This window comes from Homo sapiens, chromosome 18, assembly GCF_000001405.40.
Source record: "Homo sapiens chromosome 18, GRCh38.p14 Primary Assembly".
Lineage (NCBI taxonomy): Eukaryota > Metazoa > Chordata > Mammalia > Primates > Hominidae > Homo > Homo sapiens.
The window spans coordinates 11,017,968-11,032,531 of record NC_000018.10 but is presented as its reverse complement, the minus strand read 5'-3'; the positions used below and the strand labels follow the sequence as shown (position 1 = coordinate 11,032,531).

The 14,564-nt window shown below is 45.1% G+C and overlaps 1 protein-coding gene across 11 annotated transcripts in view, besides 1 other annotated feature; it reads left to right on the top strand.

Moving 5' to 3' along the window:
- The window catches only part of PIEZO2 (piezo type mechanosensitive ion channel component 2), a 479,323-nt gene that overhangs the window by 117,038 nt on the left and 347,721 nt on the right, over positions 1 to 14,564 (top strand). The window lies entirely within an intron of this gene.
- Positions 7,027 to 7,321: a silencer, noted in NCBI's record as "tiled region #14785; HepG2 Repressive non-DNase unmatched - State 23:Low". NCBI's record gives its function as "represses a minimal TATA promoter and a strong SV40 promoter by Sharpr-MPRA in HepG2 cells {active_cell/tissue: HepG2}" and the evidence as "EXISTENCE:reporter gene assay evidence [ECO:0000049][PMID:27701403]".

Here is a 14,564-nt window from a genome sequence, read left to right as displayed (position 1 = left end):
TCCCACCCGTCATCCATAGCCAGCCAGACTGGCTAACACATTTACACTTACTCGAGAGCATGCCAAGAATAGCTCCGTATTCTAATAGAGCAAGAGCTGAAATTCAGTAAATCGTTATTCCCAGGTGAAGTAAGGATATAATGGAGAGATGCCATTACCTTCTGTCTGCAGACACGGAAATGAATGTCCAGGAGTGGTGTAAATGTCACTTACTCCTTTGCAGAAATCTCTGACCCAGTTAAGATACCACTAAGTTGCATTTGTTCCAAATGTTGTCCTCTGTCCTGTGGACCACACTGGAGACCCGAGAATCAATGTTGAGACATAAGGCTCTCTGCTGCTGTGTTCATTTGGGTTTTGCATTTTTGCCATTCAGCAGAATTTCACTTCATAGTTTGTTACTCAATTCAAATAGCATGATTGGGGCCATGTAGCACACGCTTTGGTACATGGCAGGTCCTGAAAAATGGTAGCTCTTGTCATCATTACTTTATTGCCATCGTCATTGGAATCAGCAGTAAATATCTGTGTGTATGCGTATGTGTGTGAGAGAGAGACAGAGAGAAACAGAGAAAGACAGAGAGAGAACGAGTTTTGTCTCGTATCTTGGAAATGTGATGGTGAGAATAAAGGGTTGGGCTAATATTCAGCAGCCAAATGGATTATAAAATATTAAAATACACCCAATAGATTAATAAATAGCCATTGCCCTGAGCTTGCCAACACCTCATGCCCCATACCTTAATGTCCCAGTTCTCAACTTTTGCCCCAGGGACCATGGAATCAACTTACAACCAAGGGTAAGTCGTACCAAGAGCAACCAAGGGTTATATCTGGCTCCTCTGGAAGCCTCCGGAATGCTGCCCTGGAATGCTAGCATTAGTTATGAGTAGCTGGTGTCTATGTTAGACTCGTGGTTAAATATATTGAATATTACCCCTGGGTAATTATAAAAATGTTTTAAAAGCATAATTTGAATATCATCTCTGTGAAGAATATTAAAATATCAAATAGTATAAGTTCCAGTGTTATAAAATTCAGCTATTTTGAAGAAATAACTAAACCAAAATGAAAACACTCTAGTAGTGTTCACTAATTTTTTTTTCTGGTATAAAATGTAAGAATTAAGAGTGGAGTATACTTTCAAAAGTAATGACGTAGGAAATGTGTTTTCTGGGGAGACAACTGTAAGGTTATGAAAGGTCCTGATGGGCTTATTAAAAAAAAATTCCAGGCCAGGCGCAGTGGCTCACGCCTGTAATCCCAGCACTTTGGGAGGCTGAGGTGGGTGGATCACGAGGTCAGGAGATTGAGACCATCCTGGCTAACACGGTGAAATCCCATCTCCACTAAAAAAAAAAAAAATACAAAAAAATTAGCCAGGCATGGTGGCAGGCGCCTGTAGTCCCAGAAACTCGAGAGGCTGAGGCAGGAGAATGGTGTGAACCCGGGAGGCGGCGTTTGCAATGAGCCAAGATCACGCCACTGCACTCCAGCCTGGGCAACAGAGCAAGACTCCGTCTCAACAACAACAACAACAAAATTCCAGAAGCAACTTCATTGCATTGAAGTGGACTACTCGAGATTGCTTTGCAAATCTTGCTAATCTAATCATATAAATACATTTTGCAGAGACTAGTGCTAAACCTGAGTCAATAAAAATAGGATTATTAAGTGAAATGCTTTTTGTCTAGATGCTTGTTTTTATAGATAAACTTTGCTTTTTGTCTAGGTGCTTGTTTTTATAGATGCACTTTGCCGTCTCAATGAGTGAGTTCTTTTGGATGCTCCTGGCCCTGGACTACGTCTTGCCAGGAATCTTAAGAGTGGGCAGCACCGTCCCCTATGGAGGCCTGGGGTCCTTGTCATATATCTCGAGGGACCAGCGTTTCTAACTCTTCGCTGGAGCACGAGCCAAGCTGACATTGTTTTGGCTTTCAGAAATGAGGACAGAGTAAAACTTGACAGCAACATCATGGTGAATAAATGCCAGAGCTTTCTAATCACTCCTTCCCGTAACCACTACAAGGTTGTCTGACCTTGGGCAAGTCACTCCTTTGGGCCTCAGTTTTCTCATCACTAAGTGATGGGGGTGGGCTTAGGGAGTACTAGGGACCCTTACAGATAACTAATGAAACATGGTCTCCAAACTTTGGTTTTATAGAGAATAATAAAAAGCAATACTCTCTTTTCTTGATTATCAGATATTCCACACCTTCACTTTGGCATTTTTTAAATTACAAAACATCTTATAATTGAGGAATAAATTTCACTATAGTTGTCATTTTCATCACACCTGTGAATGTGACCATAAGTAGCGAGTGTTTATTCAAACACTTGACACCTTAGTTGTGTTTATTACCATTAGTAGCACTATAAGGGGTTGGCTTTGTGGCTGGAATGAGGATGGTAGCTTGTCTTTTAAAATTCTTTAGAAAGATCATAGTATGAGAAGCATTAAAATTAAAAGATGTATATGCAGAGTACTGCCTTCTTATATTACTTAAAGGGAGTAAAAGTTACCTAATTTTTCAGAAGAGATAAAAAATATTTCCAACCTGATGAAGGTTGTTCAGATCAAATCATAGAGCTTGCAGTTCAGTGGGGAACGCAGAAGATAAAAAAGGAACATGGCCATGGTGGAATTACTGGTTGGGTTAGCTGCTGTGAAGACAATTAAGGGGGCTGTATAGGGAACAAGTGGTGGAAGGGTCCACCTTCTAGGGGGTCAACAAGACCTGTCTGAAAAGGGAAGAGCAGCCACATGAAGAAGTCAGAGGCAGGGAGGGAGAGGGGTCCTCAAGGCAGAGAGGATGGTAAGTGCAAAGGCCCTGAGACACAAAAAACGTTGGCCTGGGGAGGAATGAAGGAAGAAAGAACTACCCCAGCAGACAGAGGCTGAGAAGCACTGAAGTTGTAAATAGTGAAAGGGTTTAGCCTTTACTCTAAGTAGAGTGGAGAACCATTAAGAGACTTTAAGTAGGAGAATAGAATGGCCTAATTTGCTTGTTTGAAAGATCCATCTGAGCCTGAGTAGCAGGAGGGAGCCGCCTAAGGGGTCTGCAGAAGTGGGTTGGAGCTAGTATCAGCATAGAGATACAGAGATAGAGAAAAGGGCACACTTCAAACATCTAATTTGGTGAAAAACCCAACAAAACTTACGGATGAATTTGATATGGAATGTGGTAGGGAGGCACTGGGAGAAATTAAGGAAAAGTCTTTTATTTCAAGTTTTAGCAGCAGGACAGTGGTGGTGACATTTGTTGAAATGGGGAGCCGGGTCTGGAGCAAGGGTGACGGAGGAAAAATCAGAGCTGCTTTTTGGACAGGTTGTGTTTGCGTTGGCAGGGAACCTGGCAAGTGGGAATGTCATGTGAGTACAATTCAGATACATTCTTAAATTGAATATGGAGAAGGCCTACACTAAATTTTAACTGTGATTGTGAAAAGTTAATGTAATTCCCAATTAATTTTTTGCTATTACGAGTTAACAAAATGTTTACAGCGAACATGATGTTCCCCTCAATTTCTATTTAAATAACTGACGGTGCAGCTTAAAACTGGTGTTGTTTAGATGCAAGGTAAAATGTTCCATGCCATCTTATCTAAATTTTTTTTCAACTCTGTTTCCTATGACACCAAATGTATTCTTTGGCACAGGGCAATTGATGAATATTTGCTGAAGAAGTGAGTCAATAGGTATTATATAGAGTACCAAGCACAAGAAAGACTAATCCTGATGAGCTGCACAGCACCATGGCCAACGCTGGCTGGCCATGTATTATTCAGACCTGATCAGATTCTCACTTTCTTCTCCTTCCAGAATATGTGAGGATCTATCTAAGGAAACATATATCCCTAATACTGCACAGTTTTACTGTCCTCAACTCCACTTAGTCACACATTGTTATGGGGGTGTTCAGATAAAGCTGAAGGACAGTGTCAATGACCATATAAGATGGCCACGTATAGACTGGGTGCGGTAGCTCACACCTGTAATCCCAGCACTTTGGGAGTCCAAGGCTGGCGGATCATCTGAGGTCAGGAGTTCGGGACCAGCCTGGCCAGCATGGTGAAACCCTGTCTCTACTAAAAATACAAAAATTACCCAGGTGTGGATGTGCGTGCCTGTACTTCCAGCTACTCAGGAGGCTGAGGCAAGATAATTGCTTGAACCTGGGAGGCAGAGGTTGCAATGAGCCGAGATCACGCCATTGCACTCCAGCATGGGCAACAAAGTGACTCTGTCTCAAAAAATAAAAAAAAATAATAAAAAATAAAGAAGAAGAAGAAGAAAAGAAAAGAAAAGAAAGAAGGCGATGTACAGAAAAGCCTAGCTTCCTTACTTGCATTTGGTACTGGAAGAAGAATCCAAGTTACAGTTTGTAGAACTTGCAGCTCGTGGTGCCACACCATGTAAATCAGAAAGTGAGAACTGAGATCTAGCAACAGAAGCAGCTACTGCTTGTCCCTCTGTGACGGTGCTTGGACTAGCCACAGGGACACTTGGCAGGTTACCCTGCACTAATCATAATAGCAGGTCTTCCTGTTCTGTGAGATCATTCTCAGAAACAGTGTTTGAAGAATTTATCAAAGAGTACTCTACGAAGGCTCTTCTAGTATATTTAACAATTGTTTCTTTAAGCTTACTTTGCTGTTAAAAGCAAAACAACATGAAACTCTCAAATGGAAAAACCACTTACCAAGTCATAAGCTGAAATTTCAGTATTGAACTGAAACGCTAAATGATAGATCAAGATCACTATGAATCCTGGAGTTAGAGTGAATGGCTATTTTCAGTTAATGCTAATGATTTTTACATTTATTTGTACAACATAATTGTGAAAGACAACCCCAAATGGAACTTAAACCCCACCGAACTCCCATTTGTTCATCAACCCAGTTACCTAAGACAGTTATTTAAATTAAATTTTCTACAGTTAAAACCAAACAGAAGCATACAGATGAATTGTGAAGTTAAAGATTATTCCAGATGACTTTTAGGTATAACTCTCATGCAAAACCTATATCATCTTGAAAATTAAATTTTAAATGATTATATCTCCTGCTTCATTGTCAATTTGATTGCTTTCTTTTTAACCTCTTGTACCTTATTCCTAGCGCACCTCAGCGTGCCCCCTTTGCTCTGACCAGGCAATTCCTGCCTTGCCTCACTGGTGAATTGACAGTCGCAGTCCTTCCTTTATTCACACACAGGTCCAGCAGAGCCCGGTTATACCTTGACTGGAGCTCAGAACTCAGGGGTCACGGCTCATGCTGTTCCTTTTCCACAAATGCTGTTTGCTTTCCTCTCTCCAGGTTCTACCCATATTCTGGGGTCTCTTCAAATTCCATCCCCAAGCCCCTTGAATTCTGGCTCCTACTTTAGTTTGTCCAAATCGCTGTTTGTCATATAAGTGTAGCTATGCACACACTCATTCTTACACAGTTTAGAATTGACTGCTCTGTGACATTTCATATGAATTGGCTTATAAAATACTTTTGGGCAGAGTCTTGTCTCATACACATAAGTGCTGTGCAGAGCTTGGAGACGAGCGCTCCCATTAGTTCAAGTGATGTGATAGATTGCTAATTTGTTTCTTTTTCTCTTTTTCCTGTGTGGTTCAGTCCCACACTCTTGCCTCTTTTTTCCCTCTTCCTGTCTAGGAGCTAAATACACAAAAATGAATGTGATCTGGTCCATGTTCTAATCCACTTATGGGTTAATTGGGTGACAGATCTGTTAACCGATAATGCATGATAAAAGTGATACAGTTTTGAAGAGGGTGCTGAGGGAATCAAGTTGAGCATTTGGTCCCTTGGGAATTCAGGGTAAGGCTGAATAAGCCTCACAGAGGGCAGTGGAGGGAGCATTCAGGCTGAGGGAGCAGCCCAGCAAGGCTGTGCAATGCTTTAGTATATGTATCTCTTTCCATACGGAGCATAGGCCAATAACAGCAAGAGCACAGTGCATCGGCATCAGCACCTGGTGCTTCGTTTTCTTTTATTGCTTCCTAGAAAGTGTAAGACAAGGAGTTACAGGTGGTGGAGACGTGGATGAGAAGAGGGTGTAGGTGGTGCTGAGGAGCCACTCCGGGAACGGGGAAGTCACAGAAGGGACCAGTCAGGGTGCAGACGGCTAACTTTGTGTCTGTGGATGAGATTGAGGCAGGGTGGGGGCGAGGCAGAGAGGCCAGCAGAGTTTCTACCCTGGCTCACTTTGTACTTGTTCGGTTATGGAGCTGACTCTATGCGACTACAATTTCAATATATTAATAAAAATAGAAATAATGTGTGAAACATGTGAAGACAAGCACCCAGAACCACTCCAAACTACCTACCTCTTCTTTTCTTTGCTGACCATGACTATTGACAGCGGTCTCTGGTGCAACTCAATTGCATGTTTGTAAAGGCGCCGTTCAGCCTGCCCTGGCAAACCGGCAAAGCAATGCGTGCTCCTGATCTGAACTACCAGTTCAGGGATGATCTTCGCTTCCTACTTGTGATGGTGCTGAGCAGCTCTGAAAAGGGGACTTCAGAAGGGACTCCTGAGGATCAGGAGGCTGAGTCTGAGGATTAGGTGATTCCTGGGGCTTGCTGCTGCTGCCCCCAGCGGAACCCAGATCTTATAGTCTGGAGTTAAGCTGAACTCCCTCTTCCACACCTACTGACTCAGCAAGAGTTGTGCAGTACCCACCTCAGGGCAAGCAAGTTCTTCCCCAGCCACTCAACCAGGAGAGAAAATGATGAGGGGTGCTCTCATTTTCTGAACAATTGTCACCATGGGCTCTGAGTAACTTCGAGGATGGGGCCTCTTCCCCTATCTGTGTCCTGAGGGCGTTACTCATTGTACTGAACATTCAGGAAATGTCTGTGTCAAAAACAGAGAGAATCTTTTCATTCCAGAAAGGCACAAAGCACATCCGTCCTGAGACACAGAGGAGCTGGGTTTCCTGAGTTCTCTTGCCAGGAGAAGATCGCCAGGATAATGGAATGGGATCGCTAGTGCACCGGGCCCTTTGAAGCCCAGGGCGCCATTCAAAGTATGCTCTGCACTAACTGGGAAGACCATTTGGAGTCAGGAAGCTGGAATTCTGGCCCAGTCCCCACCAGGAACTTGCTTTGCATCCCTAGGCAATTCACGGAAACACTAAGCATTTCCCATCAAACAAAAAATATGGTTATCTGCCCCGTTTACCTATCACCAGATTTGTGAGGATCAAAAATAACAAGAAACATATATGAATGACTCACTTTGTAAAAGACACTGTTTCCAGAGGGTTATATATTTTAATTGTAACCCCAAATGAAGTGGCTATTGTTATTTTCATCTCCATTTCCCGGATGAGGAAGCAGGGCAGAGTGTGTTGAGGCTCATCACTCTGAAGTAAAGGGGCTCAGAGATGAATGTAAGCAGTTTGGCTTGAGAGCCTACATTCCTAATCAGTGCACTCCACCCCTCAAGAGAGAGGACGCTTATAGAAATGCTTCCGTGTAAAATGCGCTTCCATCTCATGCAGGCTATGTACTACATTCAACTTGGGAGGCCAAAATCACATGTTATAAATATTATTTAAAAAAAAAAAAAACCTTCGCTGGGCACGGTGGCTCATGCCTGTATTTCCAGCACTTTGGGAGGCCACGGGGGGCAGATCACCTAAGATCAGGAGTTCGAGACCCCCCTGGTCAACATGGTGAAACCCCATCTCTACTAAAAATATAAAAATTAGCCAGGTATGGTGGCGGGTGCCTATAATCCCAGCTACTCAGGAGGCTGAGACGAGAATCACTTGAATCCAGGAGACGAAGGTTGCAGTGAGCTGAGATTGCACCATTGCACTCCAGCCTGGGTGACAAGAGTGAAACTCCGTCTCAAAAAAACGAAACAAAACAAAACCTTAAATAGACCTTATATCTTTTTATCTTCCCTTCCCCTCTCCCTTTCTTTCCTTTTTACTTTCTTTTTTCTTTTTTTTTTTTTTTTCTGAGACAGAGTCTCGCTCTGTCGCCCAGGCTGGAGTGCAGTGGCGCGATCTCGGCTCACTGCAAGCTCCGCCTCCCGGGTTCACACCATTCTCCTGCCTCAGCCTCCTGAGTAGCTGGGACTACAGGCGCCCGCCACTACGCCCGGCTAATTTTTTGTATTTTTTAGTAGAGGTGGGGTTTCACTATCTTACCCAGGATGGTCTCGATCTCCTGACCTTGTGATCTGCTCGCCTCGGCCTCCCAGAGTGCTGGGATTACAGGCGTGAACCACCGCGCCCGGCCTACTTGATTTTTTTTTCAGCCAAGTACAGATATTTCTGTAATCAAACAGTACTTTGCACTATCGTAGTGAGAGGTGACAGTGTGCACCCTCGCTCGCTTTCGGTGCCTCTGCGGCCTTGGCGCCCACTCAGGCCGCGCTTGAGGAGCCCTTCAGCTCACCGCTGCACTGTGGGAGCCCCTTTCTGGGCTGGCCAAGGCCGGAGCCAGCTCCCTCAGCTTGCGGGGAGGTGTGGAGGGAGAGGCGCAGGCGGGAACTGGGGCTGCGCGTGGGGCTTGCGGGCCAGCTGGAGTTACGGGTGGGCGTGGGCTCGGCGGCCCCGCACTCAGAACGGCCGGCCAGTCCTGCCGGCCCCGGGCAATGAGGGGCTTAGCACCCGGGCCAGCGGCTGCGGAGGCTGTACTGGGTCCCCCAGCAGTGCCGGCCCACCGGCGCTGCGCTCGAATTCTCGCCGGGCCTTAGCTGCCTCCCAGCGGGGCAGGGTTCGGGACCTGCAGCCCACCATGCCTGAGCCTCCCCCAACTCCGTGGGCTCCTGTGCGGCCCTAGCCTCCCGGACGAGCGCCGCCCCCTGCTCCACAGTGCCCGAACAGGGACCACCCAAGGGCTGAGGAGTGTGGGCACACGGCACGGGACTGGCAGGCAGCTCCACCTGCCGCCCCGGTGCGGGATCCACTGGGTGAAGCCAGCTGGGCTCCTGACTCTGGTGGGGACTTGGAGAACCTTTATGTCTAGCTAAGGGATTGTAAATACACCAATCGGCACTCCATATCTAGCTCAAGGTTTGTAAACACACCAATCAGCACGCTGTGTCTAGCTCAGGGTTTGTGAATGCACCAATCCACACTCTGTATCTAGCTACTCTGGTGGGGACTTGGAGAACCTTTGTGTGGACCCTCTGTATCTAGCTAATCTAGTGGGTAGGTGGAGAACCTTTGTGTCTAGCTCAGGGATTGTAAATGCACCAATCAGCACCCTGTCAAAACAGACCACTCGGCTCTCTGTAAAATGGAGCAATCAGCAGGTTGTGGGTGGGGCCAGATAAGAGAATAAAAGCAGGCTGCCCGAGCCAGCAGTGGCAACTGGGTCGGGTCCCCTTCCACAGTGTGGAAGCTTTGTTCTTTCACTCTTTGCAGTAAATCTTGCTGCTGCTCAGTCTTTGGGTCCACACTGACTTTATGAGCTGTAACACTCACGGCGAAGGGTCTGCAGCTTCACTCCTGAAGCCAACGAGACCACGAACCCACTGGGAGGAATGAACAACTCCAGACTCCCCGCCTTAAGAACTGTAACACTCGCTGCGAAGGTGCGCAGCTTCACTCCTGAGCCAGCGAGACCACGAACCCACCAGAAGGAAGAAACTCTGAACACATCCGAACATCAGAAGGAACAAACTCCGGACACACCGCCTTTAAGAACTGTAACACTCACCTCGAGGGTCCGCGACTTCATTCTCGAAGTCAGTGAGACCAAGAACCCACCAATTCTGGACAAAATAGCCTAGAGTTCTATGCACATGTAAGGTCATAGTATTTTATAGTTTTTACGAACTGAATTCTGTCCCCCTTAAATTCATATGTTGACATCCCACAATGTGACTGTATTTGGAGACAGGGCCTTTAAAGAGGTGATTAAGGTTACCTGAAGCCATAAGCATAGAGCCCTAATCCAGTAGCACTGGGGTCCTGTAAGAGGAGGAAGACACCAAGGATGTGTGCACCCAGAGGAGAGCCCATCTGCCAGCCAAGGAGAGAGGCCCCAGGAGAAACCAATCCTGCCAGCACCTTGATCGTGGGCTTCTAGCCTTTACAACTGAGACAATCAGTGTCTGTTTCTGAAGCCTCCCAGTCTGCAGTGCTTTGCTACCATGCCCCCAGCAGGCTGATAACTGGGTGCATGCTTCCTGCACTGCCTTGATCTTATATTGATTTTGCTCCAAGTGTAAATTATTTTGAGTTCACTTTTTTTTTCTCAGAACAAGAACTAAGCAATTTCCTTACAGGCTCTGCTACTGTCATACCCACTCCAAAGGTCAGGCCTGCACAGTTAGGGGGGCTGTGACACTGCACCTGGATGTGCATGAGAAGGTGCAGCCTCTAGGGACCATGGCATGCCGGCTGAGGCATTGGCAGCATCTATCCACTATACCCCTACCTCTCGTAGTCCTTATTTTAGGCAGCGCCCGTTTGTTTGAGTGAGAGTAGGCAGAGATCGATTACAAAGTGTTTCAGGTCTGGCAGCTGTAGGAGATTACAGACACAGATGTATGCCTGGGGTTTGTTCTTGAGAGACCCCCCTGCAAATCCCCTTCACACGTGGTGACTCTGCAAGGGGCACAGGGATTTAGGAACAACTAGGAAAGGGAAGTCCAAGGGATGCCATTGAGAAAAGGCAGCATCTGGACTCTGCCATCAAGATGGAGAAGAATGGAACTGCAGCAGAGCTGGGCATTTTCCTGGTTTGCATCTGCAGTCCCCCAGCGTCTAGATGATGCCTCACACACACTGCAGGTGCTCAGACTCATACATTGAATAGAATGAACTTGTGAAGGCATGGGTGGGAGGGACGTGGTTTTCTCATTCATTCCATCAGTGCAGTTACAGCACGAGCTGTGTGCTGGATCACCAGATCCGTGAGACTCAAAGTCCCCCAGGAACCCCACTTGGTGGTTTTCATTCACGATGGTGACTGTGTTCCTCCTCACGAATTCACAAGGAGACTAAACGCCATTGGCGGCTGAAGCAGGAGAGTCTGCTCAGAAACTCAACTCAAATTTGCATCCTTACCACCAAGAAAGCATTCATGGAGCCCTTGCAGTGGGGAGGAGGAGAGAAGGAAACATTGTTTCAGACACACGCAGGTTGCATGGAATACAAGAGTGGGATGCTTTTGTAGAAGGAAAAAGAAAATGTTTTCTTCAGAATAGAGGAGACTAGAAAACAGGAAGTAAGAACACCACACTGACTTTGGGTCCATGGAAAACCGGTTTGGGAGTTCTTTCCAGGGAGATTAGCTGTCTCCTTGACACCTGTGACTAGCACTGTTGAGTTAGGTTGTAACTTTGAGCTGGTTGAGATGGTGTGGTTTGGAGAACCGGTGGAGATGACTAGAGTTTCTTTCATGATGTAACGGAAGAGAATCATAGTCCAGGCCTGTGAGGCCCCTGGAGTTTGCATCCGTCTTCCTAGCTCCAGACAAGTCACTTCCTACAGTGACTCCATGAGGGTTAGTGCTTTTCTGCTGAGCAGGAATGTCGACTTAAGGCAGTGGAACAGTTTTTAAGCTGCATCTGCTTTTTGTACCTTTCACTTTCTATATTTCTTTGATTTATGGGGGAGAGGGGTTGTTTACTTCTTGAGTTTTTCAGTTTGGAAGATAATTAAGAAATAACTTTAAGTGAAAGATGAAAGAGCACAGTAGCAGAACAGTAACTTTCTTATAAAACAACGAATGTCAAGTATTCCGAAAGCTCTCTGCCAGGCTTCAGGTTTCAGCAAAGGATTAGCTTAGTGAGACCAGCTAATTGTTTAAAAATAAAGAGCTCACTTTGTGAAATAGAAGGTGTCATTTTGCCTGTCCCTTCCACTTAACTTCTATTTAGTGGTTGGCAAAAGGCTAGTGGCATGTAATTTTCATATTTTCAGAACACTACTCTGCAATTACTGGGGAGTTTAGACAGTAGTTGGCTGCTATGATCTTGTCCACAGCCCCAAGAGCTGTGAGTGTTTATTTTTCTAGAAAAATACATCAGTAAAAGTCCATCAGTGCCAGGTATTGACAGGAAAACAACTAGTCTGCAAATGTGCAAATCAGAAGTACCTAATTTTGCATTTTGCCTTGAACTAATGACAGGAAGTAATTGTACCCCAGGTGCCAATTCAGTATAAGCAAGCAGAAAAGTTATTGCAGGAAGTCATTTTGTGAAGACTGTGGAATCAGCAAGAGCATCAGAGGCTTTGAGCTAGGATAGTGATTCTGAGATGTTAATGGACCCCATCAGACAGACAAGGGCTGAGGTCAAGTATTACAAACTATGGAATTGCATAAAACATAATTAAAAGTCACAATCTCATCTTTTAAAAGTGGTCTCTTCTGTGTTGCCTTTTCTTGCTGAGGAAAGAATTGTGTGACTATTTTTTTAAAAATCGCTCCCCAGATCCCAAACTTTTAAAATTAGAAAATTGAAGCTTAAGTTTCTAATTTAATTCATATACAATTTTTTTAAAGAGAAGATTTATTGGGTCAGAAGAATAGATAAAATCATCCCCAAGAGAGTTCATGCACTCATTACACAAACACTTATTGTACATGTGCTCGGCACAGCCTCCAGTACTGGAGACAGACAAGGTGCTGATATGCCTCTTGTCTCCATGGAGTTATTCTGTAGTGAGAGCTAATAAACAATCAATTCAATAATTTCATTACAGATTGTCATTAGTACTATTAAGAAAACAAACAAGATGATGAGATAGAGTATATCAGTTGCCTTCTGCTTTGTAACACTCAATCACAGTATCTCAGTGGCATACAAAAATCAGCCTTTATTGCTCCCTTGTGTGTTGGGGTAGGGGGGTAAGTGCACTCTGTCCAGCCTGAGGATGACAAGAGCATCAATATAAAACACTGCAACAAGGGGGCCCAGAGTGGGGCCATTCAATAGGTCACAAGAGAAACTAGAAAACTGTCTTCCGTGCAGGAGTCCTGGAAGGCCTTTCTAAGTAGGAGACACTTCAGTGCAAACATAAAGGGGGAAAAACAGCCAGTCATGCTGAGAATTGGAGATGAGTTTACCACACCAGAAAGTACAAAAGCTCCCAGATGAGAGGAAAGAGTTACCTGTTCCAGTGATCCAAAAGGATGCCAGTGTGAATGGTAGGGGATGAACTGATATCCAGGTTGGAAAGGTAGGCAGCCTGGGCCTTGGCAGACACCATAAAGGATTTTATTTTCCAGTCTAGGAGAAGCCCTAAAGCATTTTAAGTAGCGGATTAGGTGACAAGACATATGTCTTTAAAAGATCTCTCTGGTTCCCATATGAAAAGTTCATGATCAGGAAGGAAAAGTAACAGGGAGGACCCTTAGAAGGCTGCTGCCTTCTGTGGTGCAAGGTAGAATTGGGGTAGCCTTGGACCTACGTCAATGGAGACATCAGTGGAAAGTGGAGAAGGGCTGGATTGGATGTAAGTTACATCGTGGAGGTAAGAACCAGCAGGGTTTGCTGGTGGCTTGGATGTGGACTATGAAGGGCACAAAAAATCAAGGCTCCGTCCTGAATTTTGGGGTTGATCTCACACACACACTCACGAAACACCTGTGATGGATTGTGGTGACATTTACTAAAGTGGAGAAAAATAGGTGAAGAAGTGTTTTGGGATAGAATTAAGAGATTCATTTTAGACATGTTGTGGTTGAGATATCTGTTATGGGTAGAATTGTATACCTCAAAAAGATATGTGGGTATGAGTGGACTCACATATCCACTCATCCTTAAAATAAAATGAGATCTCTTCATGGGGTTCCAAAAGGAAGGAGACATCATTTCTGTTCCTTGTCTCAATAATGCATCTTCTGCCTAATCATAGATGTCAGATTAAATGGACAAGACAAAATAGAAATATCTTTATTAGGAGCAAGCTGTCCCACCAGGCATACATGTGTGTTCACAGTAGTGTCACCCACCGTTCAGTGGCTGCTGGCGATTCTTCAGCGGGATTCACAATTTGGCCATAAATGAGACACCACAATTACGTCAAACTCTGATTAATCTTCCTGCCAACAGATCAGGAATCATATGTTAAGTCTGATCCAAGCTCATGTTCTTCCTTTATTTCAACACACACACACACACACACACACACACACACACACACACACACACACACACGACATGTTGGGAGTCCTAACCCCCAGGATCTCAGAATGTGACCTTATTTGGAAATATGGTCTTTGCAGGTGCAATCAAGTTAAGAAAAGGAGTAGTGTGGGCCATTAATTCAATATGCCTGTGTCTTAAGAAGAGAGAACACACACACACACACACACACACCACCACCACCACCACCACCACCACCACCATGCGATGACTGAGGCAGGAACCGGAGTAATGCAGCTGCAAGCAAGGACCACTGTGGATGACCGGCCACTACCCAAAGCTGGAAGGGGCAGGGAACAATTCTACACTAAAGCCTTCTCGGGGAGCAGGGCCCTGCTGACACCTTAATTGCAGACTTTTAGCCACCAGAACAGTGAGGCAATACATTTCTGTTTTTTATTTGTTTGGTTATTATTATTATTATTAC